This window comes from Homo sapiens, chromosome 3, assembly GCF_000001405.40.
Source record: "Homo sapiens chromosome 3, GRCh38.p14 Primary Assembly".
Lineage (NCBI taxonomy): Eukaryota > Metazoa > Chordata > Mammalia > Primates > Hominidae > Homo > Homo sapiens.
Window position 1 is genome coordinate 178,944,028 of NC_000003.12, and position 22,722 is coordinate 178,966,749.

The following is a 22,722-nucleotide window of genomic DNA, read 5'->3' on the forward strand; positions in this document are numbered from 1 at the left end:
TTTATTTTAAAAACTGACACAAAGGCCAGAATTTAATAACTAACATTCAAATAATGGGAGGATGGGAGTAAACAGGAGATGGATGACTTCAAAGTTTTATGAATTTCAAGATGATAAAAATCCATTGGAACAGTGCTGTCATAGGGATATTCCACCAGGAGATGTTATAAATAAAGTCTGATTTTTAGAAATATCTCATCCTTTGAATATATTAGATTCTCAATAAAAGTTTGCTGAAAAACTGAAAGTTGTGTTTTATTCAGAAAGAGATTAGCTATACTACTATAATAAATACACCCTAAAATCTTAGAGGTTAAGGCACTAAAAGTGTATTTCTTTCTCAAATCACAGTTTAATGTGTTTGGGTAGCTATTCTGGAAAGCTCTCATTCAAGTGGTGACTCAGGGATCTAGGATTCTTTCATATTGCAATTCATCATTTGAAACATGTAGCCTTCAAGAGGCCGGGGAATCAAACCCAGGGATATATGGACAGACCTAGTAGTGGTATATAGCATTCCATCCATACTCTTCTGGTTAGAACTCAGCCACATGTTTTGACCTGGGAAATATACTCTTCCTTTGTGCCCAGGAAGATAAGATGGATTTGTGTGCATGCCATATGCTGATGTGTTTACATGTTAACTAGTTTGATGATGAGCTTCCTACAACATATTATAATACCACCTTGTTTTCTTAAAGACAACAATAAACATTATACTCTCTTTTCTTCATGCCTCAAGTTCATAATTACAAGGATCACTCACTGTTCTGAGCTAATATACGGACCTGGAAGTTATGTTCCTTCTTTCCTTTCTCAGTACTCCCACTGTTAGTCAACCACATTCACACTTAGTAAAGACTCAAATGTTCAGCCTTTGCTTTTATCCCCTCCACTATCACCCAGTTCAGGTCTTCACCAACATTCTCCTGGAAGTTATCTCTGCCTTCACTCTTACCTCATCAATAGCTAATCCATCCAAAACACCACTTCCATATGAATCTTCCTATAACATGCCTCCACCACCACTGAAACAATAAACTTTTATTTTGGTAAAGTATAGTATTATTATTATTTCCCTTTATCTTTCCAATTTTTACCTCGGCAATAAAGTTGGGTGCAAACGCCTTAGCCTCCATAAACTGAGACTACCTAACTTTCAAATTTCCTTTAATATTCCATTTCAGCCACCTGTGTTGCATTTCCTTCTCCCTGACATTGGTCATCTAATTCTTCCTGTCTGAGATGCCCTCAGCATTTTCTGTGACTGTCTATATTCTAAATATCCTTCAACATTCTGTTCTAGTCTCACTTTCTGTATTAGTTAAGTAACATAAGCTCTATGACAGAAAAACACCAAAATCTCAATGGTTTATGTATTGGTCCATTCTCGCACTGCTATAAAGAAGTAACTGAGACTGGGTAATTTATAAAGAAAAGAGGTTTAATTGGCTCATGGTTTCACAAGCTGTACAGGAAGCATGATGCTGGCATCTGCTTGGCTTCCTGGGGGGCCTCAGGAAACTTAACCATGGTGGAAGGTAAAGGGGAAGCAGGCACGTCTTACATGTCAGGAGCAGGACCAAGTGAGAGATGGGGGAGGTGCCACACACTTTTAAACAACTAGATCTCTCAAGCATTTACTATCACTAGAGCAGCACATGGGGGAAATCTGGCCCCATGATCCAGTCACCTTCCACCAGGTCCCACCTCCAACATTGGGGATTACAATTCGCCATGAGATTTGGGTGGGGACACAGATCCAAACTGTATCTGTTTAACACAATTGAAGTTTATTTCTTGCTCTCATAAAGTCTAAACTGGGTATTCCTGTTAGTCAGGTGGCTCTCCTCCAACTGGTGATTCAGGAACCCAGGCACCCCGGCTCTTCCATCTGATGGCTCTGCTATCTTTAACCCTTGGCTTCCAATGTCACTGCTGCACAAAGAGAAAGTGTATGGAGGAACATGCATGAGAGGACCTCATGAATTAGGCCTGGAAATGGCACAGGGCATGGCTAATATTCCATTAGCTAGAACTCATTCACGTGGCCACATCTAAGATGGCAAGGGAAGTTGTGGGCCCAGGGATAAGATGAAATAGTTTTGATAAAAAGCTATCAGTATCTGTTGTACTTGCTTGTGATTCCTTTCCACACCAATCCAACTTTCCATAATTCCTCCTTCCTCTGAACTTTTCTAGTACTTTCCAATATCATATAGGCTGTAGTAACTTGGGTATTTTTTTTGACACATTTTCTTTCTACGTCAACCAAACTTTAGGGCAGAATCTGTGCTAAATATTTCTTAGTATCTCCCGCAATTACAACAGCGCCCAGCACACCCTAAGAGTTCAATAAATATTAACTGATGAGAAAGGTAATAATGTCCATACAAGTATGCAGAGTCAGTTCTCCATACACAAAATGGCCCCACACTGCTATGAAGTTCTTGGTCCACACTTTTGGTTTTTCTTTCTCTTGCCTTATCATCAGAATTTAGCTACTGCTTTGCATTGCCTTAAGCATGTTTGCTGCTTCTATTCAGCCACCCTTACTCTACTTATAATTTACTGTCTGTAATTACTATACAGGGTTTTTGAATCTTAACAATTGGATTCTTTCTACAAATAAAATCGCCCATGGAACTCCAATAAAGGGAACAAACAACAGCAGAACTGTTGAGATGGTGGCAGGGAGGGGCACATTCTTACTTAGCAGCTGCCTGGCCCCAAAGAGATACTCAGGAAACATGTCTCCCTTCCTATCCTATCCTTGTCTCAGTATTACTGTGTGTTCATTGATAAGCACTTCAATAGGCAAACTCATCTGAGAGTTCTTATTAATGGCACGAAACCTATTAATTTTGTCAGCAGTTCAACCTTACGCTATCCCAATAAGATAAGAAAGGAAAGAGTGAGGAAGAGGCAACAGGAGAGGAAAAGAGTTTTGAAAGCTTTTTGGATAAGAAAGTTGATAGTTGTCACAAAGATTTCCCAAACTTTTCAATGACATTCCATTTTTTCCCATGAAAATTTTCCATCTCGAGTAGCTCACGAAGCCTCTTCTTCATTAAGTGCCACTTAAGGATGAAATATATGTATACAAATATATATATTCATCTTACATACATCATATATATTCATCATATATAATCTGCTTCAAAATGTCTTTATGAAGAACAAATGTGACTAGTCATAAATGTTCATTCAAACAAGAAGCACAAACATCTCTTTCTAAAATGAATCTGGAATGGAGTCTGATATGGTTTGGCTCTGTGTCCGCACCCAAATCTCATATTGAATTGTACTCCCATAATTCCCATGTGTTGTGAGAGGGACCCAGTGGGAGATAATTTGAATCATGGGGGTGGTTTCCTCCATACTGTTCTCATGGTAGTGAATAAGTCCCACAAGATCTGATGGGTACCAAGGGTTTCCACTTTTGCTTCCTCATTTTCTCTTGCTGCCACCATGTAAGAAGTGCCTTTCACCTCCCACCATAATTCTGAGGCCTCCCCAGCCATGTGGAACTGTTGAGTCCAATTAAATCTCTTTTTCTTCCCAGTCTCAGGTATGTCTTTATCAGCAGCAAGAAAACAGACTAATATAGAGTCATATATCTTTTAAACAAAAAAATTAATAATTTACATGCTAAAAGGTATAAGAGTTAGTTCAATTATTTCCAGTCGTTAAAACCTATGGGCTCAGTGAAAAGTTCCATGTGCCAACATCAATATTATTGTATATGTTAAAGTTTATAATGGTTGTAATTTTGAATTAATTCCTGTTCCCCTGGGGCACCATTTTATTGTCACCTTTGATTAAAGTCACTTCAATTAAGTGTTAACTGAATATAGTTTGAAACAAAGTAGAACAAAGTTTCTTTAAGCCACACTGACCCCTAGAGACAGAGGGATTACAAAAATGTTCCAGTAAAACCAAAATCCACTTTCACAAAATTAGTGCAAATATAATAAAAGAATTTATTTTTTGGCATAAGTATGGACTATCCTTTCCTCTCCATGCTATACTCCACTGACTAAGCCTACTGCATTTCATGTTATTAAAATTTCACTGCAAAGATAAGAAGAAAGAGGCAAAGAGAAATAATTTAAAGCTAAACAGAAAAATGTATGGAATGGAAAAGTCTTTAAACTTTGCATTCAGAAATCTGAGTTCTGATTCTATTTCTCCCACATATAACCTATGTAACCTTGGGCAAGCCACCTTCCTCCCTAAGGCTTCACTTTCCCCATCAGTTAAATAAGGATTTGACCCAAATTCTCTGATTCTCTATGCTAAATGCAAACTAAGAAATTCTAACAATTTATTTTCTAATCTGAAAAAAAACCTAAATCACCATTTTTAGAAAACATCCTCTATTATTGACTCAATACAATCATGCATCACTTAACAAAGGGGATATGCTCTGAGAAATATGAACATAATATGTACTTACACAAACCTAGATGGGGAAGCCTACTACATACCTAGGATATATGGTACAACCTATTACTCCTAAGCTACAAATCTATACAGCAAGTTACTATACTGAATACTCTAGGCAATTGTAACACAATGGTAAGAATTTGTGTATATAACATATCTAAATATAAGAAAGGTACAGTAAAAATACAGCATAAAAGATAAAAAGTGGTACACCTGTATAGAGCACTTACTGTGAATGGAGTTTGCAGGACTGGAAGCTGCTCTGGGTGAGTCAGTGAGTGAGTGAGTGTTGAGTGAATGTGAAAGCCTAGGACATTACTGTACACTACTGTAGACTTTATAAACACTGTACACTTAGACTACACTAAATTTATTTTCTTAATTTTATAATAAACCAATCTTAGCTTTCTATAACTTTTATTTTTTTAATTTTTTGACTCTTTTATATAACACAGCTTAAAACATGAACATATTGTACAGCTATACAAAAATATCTCATGTCCTCATATCCTTATTCTGTAAGTCATCTTCTATATTTAAATTGTTTATTTTTTTTTATGTTTCAAACTTTTCTTGTTAAAAACTAAGACATAAACACACACATTAGCCTAGGCCTACACAGGTTCAGGATTATCACTATCGCTGTCTTCCACCGCCATGTCTTTTCCCACTGAAAGGTCTTCAGGGGCAATAACACACATGAAGCTGTCATCTCCTATGATAACAATGCCTTTTTCTGGAATACCTCCTAAAGGACCTGCCTAAGGCTGTTGTACACCTAACTTTTTTTACACGTAGAGGAAGTGCATTCTAAAATAGTGGCCAGGCACGGTGATTGATGCCTGTAATCCCAACACTTTGGGATGCTAAAATAGGATGATTGCATGAGCCCAGGAGCTGGAGATCAGCCTGGCCAACATAGCAAGACCCCATCTCCACAAAAATTAAAAAATTAGCCAGGCAGTAGGATTGCTTGAGCTCAGGAGTTTGAGGCTGCAGCGAGTCATGATCATGCCACTGCACTCCAGCCTGGGACACAGAGTGAGACCCTGTCGCAAAAAACAAAAATCAAAACAATAAAATAATAATAAAAAGTATAGCATAATTAAATACACAAACCAGTAACACAGTCATTGACATGGTTTGGCTGTGTCCCCACCCAAATCTCATCTTGAACTGTAGCTTCCACAGTCCCCATTTGTCATGGGAGGGACCTGGTGGGAGGTAATCGAATCATGCAGGTAGATTTTTCCTGTGATGTTCTCATGATAGTGAATAGGTCTCACAAGATCTGATGGTGTACAAAGGGCAGTTCCCCTGCACCTCTCTCGTCTTCTGCCATGTAAGACACGCCTTGGCTTCTTCTTCACCATCTGCCATGATTGTGAGGCCTCCACAGCCATGTGGAACTGTGAGTCCAGTAAACCCCTTTCCTTTATAAATTACCCAGACTCAGGTACGTCTTTATTAGCAGCATGAGAACGGACTAATACAGTCATTTATTTATCAAGTATGATGTACCGTACATAATTGTATGTGCTAGACTTTTATACAACTGCTAGAGCAGCCAGTTTATTTACATCAGCATCACCACAAACATATGAGTCACACATGGCACTAAAACATTAGGATGGCTATGACATCACTAGCCAATGGGAATTTTTCAGCTTCATTATAATCTTATAAGAACATTGTTGAAAACATCATTGTATGGCACATGACTGTAGTTAGACTGGTCCATGTAGTATATTACTGGCAAAGATTATTGCATTCATTTCTTAGGGTTACTTTAACAAAGTTCCACAAACTATGTGTCTTACAGAAACAGAAATTTATTTTCTCACAGTTACGGAGGCTAGAAGTCTAAAATCAAGGTGTTAGCAGGCTATTCTCCCTCAGACTGTGGAGAGAATCCTCTTTCTAGCTCTAGTGGTGGCCAGCGTTCCTTGGCTTGTAGCTGCATCACTCCGATCTCTTCCTCTATGGTCACATAGGGTTCTCCCTGTGTGTCTCTTTTCACATTATCTTCCCTCTTCTTATCAGGATGCCAAACATATTGGATTAGTGGCCTACCCTACCTTGATATGACCTCACTTTAATTTAACTAATTACATGTGCAATGATCTTATTTCCAAATAGGTCATATTCTGAGATATTGGGGACATCTCTTTTGGGGGAACATAATTCATAACAGAGATGATGGGGGAAAATACATAGTCAGAGAAACTTGACAGTTTTAAAAAGAGAAGCAAAGGCATTTGCCGAATTGACCATTTACAGGACAGGATGTGTACAATGAATCACTTCCTATTGAAGAATTTTACTGCTAAAAAATCAAGCAACGAGGAAAGATTTATTCAGTACAGAAATTACAAGACCTGAGGCTGGCAAAAGTGACTCAGACAAGATCCTGGAACACTGTCAATGAAGGTAGGAGGAGTCCCAGGTAGCTATGCTTCTGTGTAGTGCAGACTCAAATTCAGAACCAGTGCCTGAGGGTTTGTCCTGTAAAGGTAATAACCATGAAGAAACCACTGAAACTCAGCCTTACCATTCCTTGTCAGGAAAATTATTAAGAAATGTTTGTATTTTCCTCTTAAATTTTGATACATGAGAAGGGAATATAAAAGATAAACCTGAAAAATCTTTTTATTGACAGATAGCAGGAAAGCTATCAAAAACTACTGAGGTCAAGTCGAGAGGACCTAGGAGTCAAGAAGGGCTTGCTGACCAAAGATGGGGAAATTTGTACATGAATAAGAATAATAACTGCAATGGATTAAAACACATCAAATTCACTTAAATCCTATGAGTTCCCAATGATACTTGTATTAGGGTTCTCCAGAGAAACAGAACTAAAGAGATATATAGAGAAAGAGATTTATTATGGAGGTTCACATAATTATGAAGGCTCACATAATTATGGAGGCTGAGGAGTCCCACAATCTGCTATCTGCAAGCTGGCGGCCCAGAAAAGCTAGTGGTGTAGTTCTAGTCCAAACCAGGAGTGCTAATGTTAAGCACAGGAGAAGATCAATGTGCCAGCTCAACTCAAACAGAGGGCAAAATTCACCCTCCTACCACATTTTCTTTCTATTCAGGCCCTTAATAGATTGAATGGTGCCCACGCACATTGGTAAGCGCAATCTTCTGTACTCAGTCTACCAATTAAAATGCTAATCTCTTCTGGAAACACCCTCACAGACATACCCAGAAATAATCTTCTACAAGCCCTATGAACATCCCTTAGCCTAGTCTAGTTAACATATAAAATTAACCATCTCAATAATGAAGAAAGAAGTGGGGAGTCATTATTGATACTCTTGAGGGATGATAAGAAACCAACTCATTATTCTGAAAACTTGTAAATAAAGGGAAAGAACCAAATATTGATCCTGCTTTTACTACACAAACTCCAGCAAATAGTGAATGAGGGAATTGCTATGGCTTGAATGTCCCCTCCAAAACTCATGTTGAAATTTAGTCCCCAATGTGGCAATACTGAGAGGTGGGGCCTTTAAGAGGTGATTGGATCATGAGGACCTTCATGAATAAATTAATCCATTTCTGGATCATGGAATAAAGGGCAAATGAATTAATTGGTATGGATTAATGGGCTATTATGTGAGTGGAACTGGTAGCTTTATAAGAAGAGGAGGACAGAACTCAGCCCCCTGTCCATGTGATGCCCTGTACCATCTCAGGGATCTGCAGAGATTCTACCAGCAAAAAGGCCCTCACCAGATGTGACCCCTTGGTCTTGGACCTCTCAGCCTCCAGGACTGTAAGAAATAAACTCCTTCTCTTTATAAATTACCTGATTCGAGTCATTCTGTTATAAGCAACAGAAAACAAATGAATATAGAAAGTTTCTCTTTACAGAAATATTCCAGCCAAATGAGGATGCAAAGGTATAAGAATGATACAACGGACTTTGGGGACACGGGGGGGAGGGGGTAAAGGATAGAAGGGGGTGAGAGATAAAAGACTGCAAATTTGGTACAGTGTATACTGCTTGGGTGATGGGTGCACCAAAATCTCAGAAATCACCACTAAAGGACTCACTCATGTAACCAAACAGCACCTGTTCCCCAAAAACCTATAGAAAAAAATAAAAATAAAAAATAAAAAAGTATTCTAGACAGTAAATTTGTAAAAATGATAGAATTAGAATATTACTATTCTACAATCCCTAATGAACTAAAGGGTCTAGGCACTGATTGCCATCAATTGTTGCCCTTTTCAGAAAGAGAGTGAGAGGAAGAACCAGATATTCTGTGTCTGAGTCTTCTTATGGAAGATGAATGACCACAGTCCAATCTGTGAGGCAGTCTCACCAAAGTAATCTAACTTGAATCTGATAAAGCCTCTAGAGGTAACTACCAATTTGCAGAAAATACCAAGGACAGAGGAACATAGTGAACTACTGAACTACGTCACAGAAATTCAGCAAGAATAATCAGATTTGGAAAACTCTAGAGGACAAACAAAAACTAGCAAGAAAAAAGGGACGCAGAGGGGAACCTATAGATTAAAAGACTTTAAAAATGTGTCAACCAATTAGCAGTGAGGATCTTGCTGGGATCCTGATTTTGAGGGGGAAATAAAGAAAAATGTATCCATGACATTCATAAGACAATTGGGAATTTTAATATTATTAGTATAATTTATGATATTAAGAAACTACTGTTAGATTTTTAAGAGTGGCAACAGTATTGGGCTTATGTATTTCTAATAAGAATCCTTATCTTTTACAGATACATATTAAAGTATTCACAAATTAAATGACATGATGTCTGGGATTTCATTCAATAACATGGACTGAGAGGGGAATGGATGGCACAGAAGCTGCCATAGGTTGGTTGTGGATGAGTGCATGGGGTTTATTCAAGAATCGTTCTTCTGTAGTTTGCTTTTGTTATTTTAAATGTGGAATAAGAAAAACACTAAGAACTGAATTTAATTTTTCTTGGAGATGTAGGAAAAGTTGGTGAACAGCCAAACAATTGTCAGGTTTGTGTCATAACCAGCTGTGGGATCCTGGGTAAGTCATACAGTAACAGATCCTCTTGACAAAATGTGGCGGTTGAATTAGATAGATTATCTCATATTCCTCTAAACTGAATTTCACTATCAAACTGTAAACTTTCTGAGTGCAAGATCTGTTTTATTCATCTTTGCATTCCTGAAAGATACATACAGTGCTTCATGTATCATAGACATTCATCACATTCATGCTGAATTGGGTCGAATTTCTCCCTAATGTATTATGTTATGCAGATAAAGTAATTACTTAAGCCACTTGAATCAAGGGTCTTTTCAGAATTCTCTTTCCAGTGTGACCTCTAATCTTGTAAAGCAGATACTTTTTCCCAGGGACCTTTGACACCCCTCAAATGTAATCATAAATGAAGCCATTTACTCAACCTACTTATAAAATCTGCCTTGCACAGTTAATATACTGTTATCTAGTAAGGTCTGGAAATGAGCTTTCTATTTTAGTTAATAGAGAATCTCAGCCTACATTAAGTATAGATTAATATTTTCCAAATTAGAATTTGATTTTTAAAATATGCTACATGAAAATTATGCCAGAAAATCCAGGCATGGGGAGAGCTAATACAGGGAGGCCAAGTAAGCCAGGCTCAGCCCCTCCAATACTACAATCCACACAGGCAGCAAACACATCTGCTTTTTCTGTTTAATATGGTGGTTTCATGTATGATTTCATTTTTTAAAGGTTTCCACTCACTTTTTAAAATTAGAAACCAATTGCTTAAAAGGGATTTAGTAATCTCACGATGCCTCAGGGCATCCTTATTATAAATTTTCTTGTCCTGTAACCTCACAGAAGTATCAGGTAATGAAACAATAGAGTAACTGGCATGTTAGAGAACAGAACATTTGTTGAAAATATTCTGCACACAATGCAACGCTTTTTTTGGCAATTAAAAAGCATACTTATTTTTACCTTCTTCCATAGATGTCACTGTTTATCCCAGGTCATTTCTGCTACTCTCCTGTCTTCTTAATTAACACCAATGTAGAAATAATGTTCACAGTACCTTGTAGGTACTGAACATGGAAAGGTCCCTGTCACAAACCAAACTCTGTTAAAGAGTAATACCACAGTGAAAAAATCTCAGAGCAGAGTACTCTCTGTAGAGTATTCAAAGCCACTTCACTTTTGCCAGAAATATACCCCCAAAAGACTATGGAAACTCAAGATCTACAAGTATCAAAGAATATTTTTTTCAATTTATGTTATTCAAATAGGACCTCTAACTCTAGAGAACTAACTGCAAACTTTAAGATGTAAAAAGACTACTTTTTTGTGTATGAAAACAGGTCCAATAGCTTCTCACTGGAGAGAAGGAAAATGTCAGTGCACTAAAGCAGAAAATGAGAGATGATCCTAAAATTGGGAAGAGATGACAGTGAAATATGAAAGGAGGCAGAAGAGGTCTAATAAATCAGATCAGCTGCATCTTAATTACCAAGATTCCAAAATAAATCTACACACATATTTCTGAACACATCCCCCGCAGAATTTTATCTCTGTTCTCCTTTAATTTAACTCGATTGTGCATTATTGTCAGAACATATCAATCTCATCTGATAAATTATATTTTAACTAGGTCATTACACACTGTTGAAGAAGATTTGCCATTCTGCTTTAGCCACATTTAAATAAGTGACTTAATACACTATAAAGACTTCAGATCATAATCTAAGCAAATAATCCTTACCCAAACAAGAAGAGAGCATCATCACTGAGCCACGGTGTGTGTATGTCAAATACCTTGACAGAATAGCAATGGCCTGTTAATCAGAGCACACGTTAAATGGCCCCACCACCTGCTTTACATCAACATTAATATTCTTATTAGTTATTTAAAGAGACAAGCAATGTCACTATCATCCTACACCAACCTGAGCTTTCAGAATGAAAGACATTGGGTCAGTTATCATCTATTTCAATATAGTATTAACAGTTTGAGATTTTAGCAACTTGAAGCCTGAATCTAAAACCTAAGTACCAAAATAAATCACAGTCTCCCAGAATTAAAATATTCAATTCTGTTTTTAAAAATTTAACTCCTGAGTATTTTCTTTGATTCCTCAGTACACATGTCATAGCAGAAATTACACTGTACTAAAATCTATTGACAGTCAGCATTTAGTGATTGAGTACCCACTATGAACAAGGCTCTGGGTCTCAACAGCCATTGAGAAACACTGCCTTAGACATCATATTGCTTAAGGTATAATAAGCCCTGGGTTCTAGTCTTAGATTTACCACTCAACTTGAAGATAGTTACGTGATCTTGGACAAGTCACTTAATTTCTCAGTCTCTTTAGTCTCATCTGTAAAACATAGAAGTTGGACTAGATTCTGTCCAGTAGGAAAATGCTATGAATATTTATGCTGCTGTCACTAATCGGTTATACATCAAAGGAAGCAGATGAAAGTACTCATTACACAAACATCTAAACTGGATAGTATAACGTTGACTGACTTGTGCTTAACTATGAACGTACAGGTCAATTATATCTTCAAAGTTTCACCTGAGATAAGATTTTGAGTCCTTGAGAGACTGTAGGGAAAGGCATCACAGGTAACACAGATACTTATTAATAACATTTAAGAGCTTTCTTTCATAACGTAAGAAGCTACCATAGAGGAAACAAATAATTTATAATTGTGAAAGCGTAATTCATGTGTTTAGCTATGAACCTGAGCGTAAATGTCCTTTCATCCATATAAATTATTCCAGTCGGGTATCTGTGGGGCTACTGATTCATCAAAAGGTCAAATGAGTTTAAACTTGCAAAAGAAGAATATAGATTGATTCCCTTTTTATTTCTTTGATTTTCAAATTATTATTTATACTTACTTAGCATTATGTAATTACTAGGACTGAGAATTCAGAATTAGGAGCTATAATGTGAAGTCTAAAGTTTCTGGATCTGATTAAAATCAAAGATCTTCTAATGCGGAGGAAATTCAAGTTTAAGTCCCTCACTCTAGAGGTCATAGACAGATACACACAAATTTACATATACATACAAATATAGCCCAAGAAATTGACTGATTTTCTCAATATCTCACAGCTAAGAGTGACAGTAAGACCTTGAATCCAGGGCTTCTTCTGGCTCCGAGCCTGGTGCTCTTTCCACTATAGTGCATGATTGTCCTCAATCTATGCAGATGACAAAACCATCTCCAGAATTCTTTCTGGGTCTAAATTCCTAGGCCCCTGGGAGAGGGTTAAAATCCAGATGGCTCACTATCCTACTGAAGACAATTAGATCTTCTATTTTCTGGGTGAAACTGAGAAGAGTGCTCTATGGATCGGCGTTCTGAGTTGTGAGTAACAAAAAGACTGGCTCATTTAAGAAGGAAAGTATTTTCTAAAGGATTTCTGGGTAGTTTTCAGAATCACCAAAATACGGAGATACAGGCTAAGAAAATAGACAGGAATAAGAGAGACTAGGCAGCAGCCAGGACAGGAGCAAAAATTAGGTCACAGACTAGATTGGTGGGCTCACCTCCCCTGCAGCTGTTGCACTCTGGACCCTGGACCCTAACTGCAAGCCAGGTTAAGGAACATGTATCTGGTATTTTCAGCTTCTACCATGAAAGTCAGGTTCAGCCATGGGACTTCCCAAAATAAAGGAAGGGGTCCAGACCCAGGGAAGCTAGCTAGCTAAAAAAAAAAAAGCTAGATTAGATAGATGGGTGATAGAAATAGACTCTTTTCCACAACAAATAATATATTTGAGAAACTTAAAGAATAGATTCATGTCTACATAAATTAATCCCCCTTTAAAAGTGGCTGAAAACTTATTGCTATACAATATCTCAACTAATATCAAGAATGTATCAATAATAGTGTGAAAGCTCATTTTAACATGATATACATAATACATCTAGGAGGATTCACATAAAAATGTTTATGTTGGCCGGGTGCAGTGGCTCACGCCTGTAATCCCAGCACTTTGGGAGGCTGAGATGGGTGGATCACTTGAGGCCAGGAGTTCAAGACCAGCCTGGTCAACATGGCAAAACCCCGTCTCTACTAAAAATAGAAAAGTTAGTCAGGTGTGGTGGCATGCGCCTGTAGTCCCAGCTACTCGGAAAGCCTGGGCAGGAGAATCACTTGAACCAGGGAGGCGAAGGTTGCAGTGAGCCAAGATCGTGCCACTGCACTCCAGTCTGGGTGACAGAGTGAGACTTTGTCTCAAAAAAAAAAACAAAAAAGGTTTATGCCATTAGCTTTGGGTGGTGGAAAATTAGTGATTTTCTTTTTTATTTATAATTAGCTAAGTTGAGTGCTGTGGTCCCAGCTACTTGGGAGGCTGAGGTGGGAAGATTACTTGAGGGCAGGAGTTCAAGTCCAGCCTGGGCAATATAATGAGACCCATCTCTGAGGGAAAAAAATTCATACTTAGCTAAAGCTTCTAAATTTTTCTGCAATTTATATGCATTACACGCATAATATTTACCAAAATAATAATGGAGTGAGGATCTTTCTAATTCTGCTCGTAATTTTATATGATGCCAGAAATTTTAACAACATGTGATGCCTTCTAAGAAAGTACATATGGCTTTTTATGCCATTCACCAAAAACATCTTTTTATTTTATTTTATTTTATTTTTCCTTAAGTTATCAGCGCACAGGTGGTATTTGGTTAACATGAGTAAGTTCTTTAGTGATGATTTGTGAGATTTTGGTGCACCCATCACTGGAGCAGTATACACTGCACCATATTTCTCAGTGAGAAAATATGTTGTTTGGTTTTCCATCCCTGAGTTACATCAATTAAAATAATAATCTCCAGTCTCATCCAGTTCACTGCAAATGCTGTTAATTCATTCCTTTTTATGGCTGCGTAGTATTCCATCATATATATATATATATATATATATATATATACATATATATATATACACACACACACACATCATTATATGTATATATATGCATATAATATATATATACATATCATTATATGTATATATACACATATAATATATATATACACATATCATTATATGTATATATATACACATATAATATATATATATATTACATTGCCCAGGCTGGACTTGATATATATATATATACACACACACACACATATATATATATGTATCACAGTTTCTTTATCCACTCATTGATTGATGGGCGTCTGGGTTGGTTCCACAATTTTGCAATTGTGAATTGTGCTGCTATAAACATGCGTGTGCAAGTATCTTTTTCAAATAATGACTTCTGTTCCTCTGGGTAGATACCCAGTAGTGGGATTGCTGGATCAAATGGTAGTTCTACTTTTAGTTCTTTAAGAAATCTCCACAATATTTTCCATAGTGGTTGTACTAGTTTACATTCCCACCAGCTGTGTAGAAGTGTGTTCCCTGTTCACCGCATCCACGCCAAAATCTACTGTTTTTTGATATTTTTATTATGACCATTCTTGCAGGAGTAAGGTGGTACCACATTGTGGTTTTGATTTGTGTTTCCCTGATCATTAGTGATGCTGTGCATTTTTTCATATGTTTGTTGGCCATTTGTATATCTTCTTTTGAGAATTGTCTATTCATGGCCTTAGCCCACTTTTTGATGGGATTGTTTGTTTTTGTCTTACTGATTTGTCTGAGTTCATTGTAGGTTCTGGATATTAGTCCTTTGTCAGATGTATAGATTTTGAAGATTTTCTCCCTCTCTGTGGGTTGTCTGTTTACTCTGCTGACTGTTCCTTTTGCCATGCAAAAGCTCTTTAGTTTAATTAGGTCCCAGCTATTTATCTTTCTTTTTGTTGCATTTGCTTCTGGGTTCTTGGTCATGAAATCCTTGCCTAAGCCAACGTCTAGAAGAGTTTTTCCAATGTTATCGTCTAGAATTTTTATATTTTCAGGTCTTAGATTTAAGTCTTTTATCCATCTTGAGTTGATTTTTGTCTAAGGTGAGAGATGAGGATCCAGTTTCATTCTCCTATACATGGCTAGCCAATTATCCCAGCACCATTTGTTGAAAAGGGTGTCCTTTCCCCACTTTATGTTTTTGTTTGCTTTGTTGAAAAGGGTATCCTTTCCCCACTTTACGTTTTTGTTTGCTTTGTTGAAGATTAGTTGGCTGTAAGTATTTGGGTGTATTTCTGGGTTCTCTGCTCTGTTCCATTGGTCTATGTGACTATTTTTATACCAGTGCCATGCTGTTTTGGTGACTATGGCCTTATAGTATAGGTTGAAATCATGTAGTGTGATGCCTCCAGATTTGTTCTTTTTGTTTAGTCTTGCTTTGGCTATGCAGGCTCTTTTTTCTTTCCATATAAATTTTAGAATTTTTTTTCTAATTCTGTGAAGAATGATGATGGTATTCTGATGGGGGTTGCATTGAATTTGCACATTGCTTTTGGCAGTATGGTCATTTTCACAATATTGATTCTACCCATCCATGAGCATGGGATGTGAAGAACTCCCTTTTAAATGCTAATTTTATTCATGCAGTTGTTTTATGAATATAAAGATTTCAATTTTTCATGTGCAATACCCTTAAAGAGTGAAATCCTTTGAATTATTTTTTCAAAAACAGGCAGCACAGTTCTGATACAGAGGGAGTTTAGCATCTCAAAACACCTTATATTTTCCTTTTTACCAATTCATACATTTCCATTCCTGACGAGATTTATTGCTGTCAATTGCGGTTGCCTATAGCTTTCCACTGCTTTTGTTCCTGGAGGGTTAATTTCTAACACTTGGATTTCTTGGCATGCTTTCCTTTCTTTTTTTCCCCAAATACCCAAGCCCTATAACCCTTAATTTTGCTAGTTGATTTTGTGCCCAGTCACTATTTATAGATGGAGATAATCCCAGATTCGGACAGCTGGTCTGGCCATAGTTCTGAGATCTGTGATCCCATTTAGTTTCACCACACATGACCCTAGGCCACAAACATGTTGAGGTCATGTATATAAACAAATAAGTTTAACAAAAAGGAAACACGTGCAAAAATGTGGATCCTATACTATAGAGTTTGCATACCATGCTTTAAGGGAAAGGGAACTTACAATACAGCTAAGAATACCTAAGAATACATCTTTTTATGCAGGAATGAAGCTTCCCCTCTATGCAGATAGGCTCCTAGCATCCTGTGAGCAGACCACGCTCATTTCCTGTTGTATCCTTCACCTACAGCATTTTCCTTGAACCTCTCCACGAGCTTAAGTATACATGTTTCTCAAAAAAACAGTCTAAATTCTGCCTTTTCCCTGAGGGATGTACAGATGTGTGACTAAAAATGAAAAAGAAGACTACAAATCTTAAAAACAGTCATAAATAATTATCATAGATAACCATTGCTACCAAGTACCAGACTTACTCCTCCAAACAACCATATAAGCATGGATTGAGGATACCTGCTGTGTTATAGGTATCATTACCATTAAGGTAAACATCATATAATCTCAGCCCTCAGAGAATTTGTTCAGTCTGATAGAATCAAAGATAAGCAAAAATAATTAACACAGGGCCTAAGTGTAGAGATAAAGGGAAAGTTTGCCTAGAGAACAAAAGTTTTTTACAGACTGGATTCAGGAGAAGGCTCCTTCAAGGAAGCCCATTCTACAGATAAGAAAACTGAGGTTCACAGAGGTTAAATGTTTATGACCACAAACTAATAAGTTGTGGAGCCAGAAATCAGAAATAGGTCTCTTAGCCCAACATTCCCACAGGCTTTCACTTATGGGAAGTTGACCTAATTATCAACCTAATTAACACACCAAATGTGTTAATTTCCTAAGGCTGCAGAACAAGTTACCACAAATTTGGTGGCTTATAGCAACAGAAATGAATTCTCTCACAGTTGTGAGGACCAGAAGTCTGAAATCACAGTGTCAGCAGAGTTGGTTTCTTCTGGAGGTTTAGAGGGAGAATCTGTCCCACGCCTCTCTCCTAGCTTCTTGTGGGTGCCAGCAATTCTTGATGGTGATGCATCATTCCAGTCTCTGCTTCCATCTTCACATGGCCTTCAACTCCATGTTTATCCTCTTTGTGTGTCTTGAATCTCTCTTTCCGTTCTCCTATGAGGACAACAGTCATTGGATTTAGGGTGATTTAGAATGAACTTATCTCAAAAATCTTAATTACAACTGCAAAGACTCTATTTCCAAATAAGGTAACATTCACTGGTACCAGGGGTTAGGACCTGAACTTATCTTTGCAGGGGACAATATTCAACCCAGTATACCAAGCACATTGTTTACAAGCCTATTCCAGCTTTTACTTCCCCCTGGACCTTTCTGGCTGAAGCCCTCATGTTCAGCCAAGGATTTGTGGATAACTCCTGAGAATGTGCACAGCCTTGGGCAGCCTTCCAAATCATCATGGATAAGTAAGAGTTTACCAAGTCCCACTATGGCTATCTCTCTGTTAAATTTCTCACTGGTTTGCTGACTTCTTGCTGGTATTCTGCTTCTTACCAAAACCAGGATCATAATGTTGGGCTAGCTGCAACATTTGTTTGCCAACCATATGTGATAACAAACACCCGAGGGTGTGGGGTTTTCTGCTCCCCTCTCCAAACCAAGTCAGCCCCCGCCAGCAGCTAAATTCATCTTAGCTGAGTAGGAATTGCCCTATTCTGTCCAAGCTATCACATGATGGGACTGTGGGAGGTAGAAGGGAAGCAGCCCAGGTTAATACAGCACAGACTCTCATTGTTTGTACCCAGAGTTTAGTAGATCTTCTTAAATAAACACTAATCAATTTTCTGAATGTCCTTGGTCAATTCTGAGATTTCTCAAGTGGTTGATTTTTAGAGTCTTGTTTAGTGTTATTATTATTTTGAGAGGAAGAGGATTTGCTATATTCTTCACTCTACCATTCTGAAAGTCCCAATTTCTAGACACTAACTAAAAAAGAGCCATTGCCCCATTGCAACTTGCAGCTGGACTGTCATCAGTGAAAGGAGAGAGGCAGGGAAGTCTCCAGAAATGTTCATTCTACACAGGTAGGATGGGACTACATGGAGCAGAAATTTACAACAAATTAGTTTCTTCTTCCCTTTAAGCATATTTGTTGTCTACATTTTCTCAAAGTCTCATAGTAAAAGAGAAAAGTAGAATTGCCTAAACCTGTATTTTTACAGAATAAAGGAAGAGTTCAAAATTCTAGATAAAATAACCCATCCATCAAGATGCAAATTGCTACAATTGAAGATTACCCTGTACACACAGAGAAAAAGGCTCACCTATTATGATTGTCCATAGATTATATCAATTCATTTTAAATATTTAGGAAGTTCTTTTTTTACTTTATAAATCTATAAGCCCATTATTATCAGTTTCCAGACCTTTTACTTCTCTGACTTGAAAACCACTGCTACTTATAATACAATCCAGTTAAAGGATGATAAATGTAATCTTTCACTATTGACTTCAGGCTATTGTGGTACAAAATAACTCTATCTATTTTCCCATCTATTCTTTCACCTGCACATGCCCACGAACACAATTACAAGATAGATACCCTTTCTTCCAGAGGCTACAAACCAGTAACCTCTGGCTGAAAAATAGGCTTTATTTAGCTCTCATTGTACCTTTTAAAACACTGAGCTGACAAAATCTACATATTTTACACAAAAATATGAGTACCTGCCTTTTCTTGAGAAAGAATCTGGTGATAGTTCATAATGACTTTTCTTTTCAGACAGTGCAAGTAATTTCCAATATTTTACAGTCCCCCTGCCTCTATTGTCTTCCTAATGCTGACGATGAATGTCAGCTATCATCAATTATTTCATTTGTATTATTTTTCTTTTTGTGGTAGGAAAATATTTTTCTGTAAAAATGTCTTTATGTTAAATACATTTTGAATTAAAAATTGAAAGGAAAAGTAGAAACTAAGATTATCCTTTTGATTATCCTTCACCCAGTCTTCTGTACTCATTAACACTACTTGCCGGTACCCCCATAGGCATTTGAGTTTGTTGTGTCTGTTTTCATCCTTAGATTAGAACCGAATAATCTCTTGATATAAAAATAATTCAAGACTGCAAGGTTCTTGCTTATCAGATTGGCCTAGTCCAGAGATGATCAAGAAGCTGGCCAAAGGTCAATTGATTACCTACTATAGTGGGGAGGTGCTCAGATTCTTCTAGAGTCAGATTATTCAAGTTCAAATCCTCACTTTGCCACTGTTAGGGTTCAAAAAGCGATGCCCCAAAATATGGTGGTTTGACATGCTGGCCGGGAGAAGCAGCCTTAAGTTCTCTCTAACCTTCTACCTCCAGCCCCCTCCCTCTGACCCCTGCCTCCTTAGGCCTCTGATCCTCTTTCCCAAAGAACTAAGAGGGACCCTCTTTGGAATTTCTTTATCTGACTAACAAATTTTCCTTCTTAAGACAATGCAATTTTCTTAAGACCTCTTACCTAGGAATCTCATCAAATAACCAGGAAAGATTAACCACTGGAGAAGAGACGGGGTCATGATTACAACCAGACAGACTTTTCATATATTATTTTGAGGACAGCTCTGAGAGACTACCTGGGGACTTTATCTTCATAATAAGACAACCTTTGTTCTTGTGAAGTTCTGCCCCTCTCCGTCCTGGAACCTTGTCATCCAGCTTCCAAAGAGAATCATTTACAAAATAATGTCTGCCTTCTATGTCCATACATCTCTCCTCTATGAAGACAACATTTAAAAATCAAACATCTGACTCCTCCTTAAGTCTCATATTTTGTGTGTAGCTTCTGTGTTTATGCATGTTGAATACATTTTATATGCCTTTTTCTTCTATTAATCTGCCTTTTATCAGCTCATTTTCAGCAAATCCTCAGTGGACAGAGATGAAGCGTTCCCTTCACTCCTACACTACCTACGGATTTTGTGATCTTTGGTAAATTACTTAATGTCTCTGAGATTCTATTGTTCTATCTATAAAAGGCAGATAATAATAGTATCCACATTATAGGGTCGTTTGAGAGTGAAATTAAGTGCCCAGAATAGTGCTTGTGTGATATAATAAGAAATATATTTGGTCTTTGTTCCTAGTTTTTGTTGCAGGGCTTCTGAAATTTTTGGAAGTCCTGAGTGATAGGAACGTCTTTCATTATTCATAATGATCCCCTTTATAATAACACGTGAGTTCATGCTAATGAGGTGAGTTAGATAACCCTAGATAACCTCAGGATGGGGCCAGTCCCCAGAAAGACCAAGTGATTAAGGGATTAGAGGGTTGGAACTTTCAGCCTTGTTGACCAACCTCCAGGAAATGGAGTGGGGTCTAGAGATTAAGCTCTCCAAAGCTGTCGAACAAGATTTGACAAGCTTCACAGTTGCTGAATGTGTAGAGGAGCTGGGAGGATGGGATGCCCCTCACGTCTCTACTCAGCCTGTGCATCTCTTCCATCTGGCTGTCCTTGAGTGCTGCCCTTTATAATAAATGGGTAATTGTAAGCAAAGTGTTTCCCTGAGTTCTGTGAGCCATTCTAGCAAATTACTGAACCTGAGAGGGGGTCATGGGAACCTCCAATTTATTGCTGGTCAGTCAGAAATATGGGGGGCCCAGACTTGAGATTGGCGTCTGAAATGAGAGCAGTCGTATGGGACTGAGCCTTCAACTTGTAAGGGCTATTCAGGTAGACAGTGTCAAAATCGAATTGAATTGTGGAAGACCCAGTTGATATCTGCTGGAGAGCTGCTTGAAATATGTGTAAAGACCCGTACACATCTGGCCACAAAAATATTCTGTGCTGAGAGTATAGTAGGACAGAACAGTCTGTTGGTTTGTGTGTTTCCCAGTCTTGTAAGTAGTAAACACTATATACATGTTTGCTATTATTATTATAAGAAAGCAACTGCCCCCTAGAAACACTCCTGTATGGTACAGTGTTAATGAAATTGACAACTGTCCTTTGTGAAAATAGTCTATCCCCAGAATACATATGTCATGCCATACCTTTATTGACTCCAATAGGGATGACACTGTGTCCAAGGGCTGAAGAAGAGACCTGGAGACGTGAACAAGACATAATGCTTATCAGGGGAACTTACATACAAAGACAACTTGGAAAAGAAACAACATGCATTTTGCTGCTTTTAAACTGTTCACTTAGAGAATAAAACTATCTACCAAAGTATAAAACACAAAACAACACAGAAGCCAGGTATGGTGGCATGTGCTTATAGTCTCAGCTATTCAGGAGGCTAAGGAGGGAGGCTCACTTCAAACCAAGAGTTCAAGGCTGCAGTGAGCGATGAACTCACCTGTGAATAGTCAGTGTACTCCAGCCTGGGCAACATAGTGAGACCCTCAACTCTTAAAAAAAAAAAGCAACTCATATGTGTGAGCAGAGCAATATAAGGATTCCATAAATGTATGAATCAGTGCAAATTTTCAACCAAGCATGACTCAGAGAAAAGAATATAGACTAAAAGAATGTAAAGGTAAAAGACCGGTCTATTACTTCTGAATTCTCATGCTCACTGCTCGTGTAACCCAGGACAAATCAGTGCTACCCTCTAGGACCAGTAATTAAAGTGATTAGGTTAGACTGAAAAGTTTCCTTTTGACTCTGTCTAAAACTTAATACAAAGAATATCAAAGACAATCAAAAGGTTTGTTGCTACATTCCATAACAGTTATGGTTTAAATTATTAGAAAAGTCCTAAGGTTTTTATTCTAATAGTATTTATTATGACAGAATATAGAGTAAAATCTCAATTAGCATAAGGTAGAATTAAACATGGAAACTTCCTGGAGTTTTAACCCAGGAAAGGGTAGATAATTTGATTAAAACTCCAAACTTCCTCTAGAAAAATACACAAACACATTTTGCATAAAATTTAAAAGATTCACTGATGCTTAGAAAGATTTAATTCTGAGAAAAACTGGGATTCAAACATGAGGAGAAGAAGAAAGGAGGAGTTACCCTAATTAACTGGTTACCTAGCCAATAGAAAAGAAGGATATCCAGGCGGCTCTTGGTTTAAAATCTAAATGCATTGTATTTGACAGCCACTTTATAATAGAATTAAACTTTTTATGGCTAGTCTCCAACTTAAACTCTGAGGTCTCTTGAAACTAGAAAGTGAATACAGCTTTTCTACTCATAGTTAAGCTTTTAAAAATATTAACAGAATCTTTTCATTCATTCATTAGGAAAAGGAAGTGGTTTTTCATTTTCATTCGCAAGCCAGTTTCCTGTTCACGCTTAAAAAAATAAATAAATAAATTTGGCATAAGGAATGATGAGGTGCCCTC

General features: G+C 37.5%; 1 long non-coding RNA gene across 3 annotated transcripts in view; it reads right to left on the reverse strand.

Moving 5' to 3' along the window:
• Window positions 1-22,722, reverse strand: part of LOC124906307 (uncharacterized) — a 97,668-nt gene that overhangs the window by 35,662 nt on the left and 39,284 nt on the right. For all 3 annotated transcript variants that reach the window (XR_007096179.1, XR_007096177.1, XR_007096178.1), the window contains 2 exons: window positions 21,418-21,469; window positions 15,935-17,536 (listed from right to left, as the gene is read on the reverse strand). This is a non-coding gene — a long non-coding RNA (uncharacterized LOC124906307). Of the gene's footprint in view, window positions 17,537-21,417; window positions 21,470-22,722 lie in introns of those variants that run through there.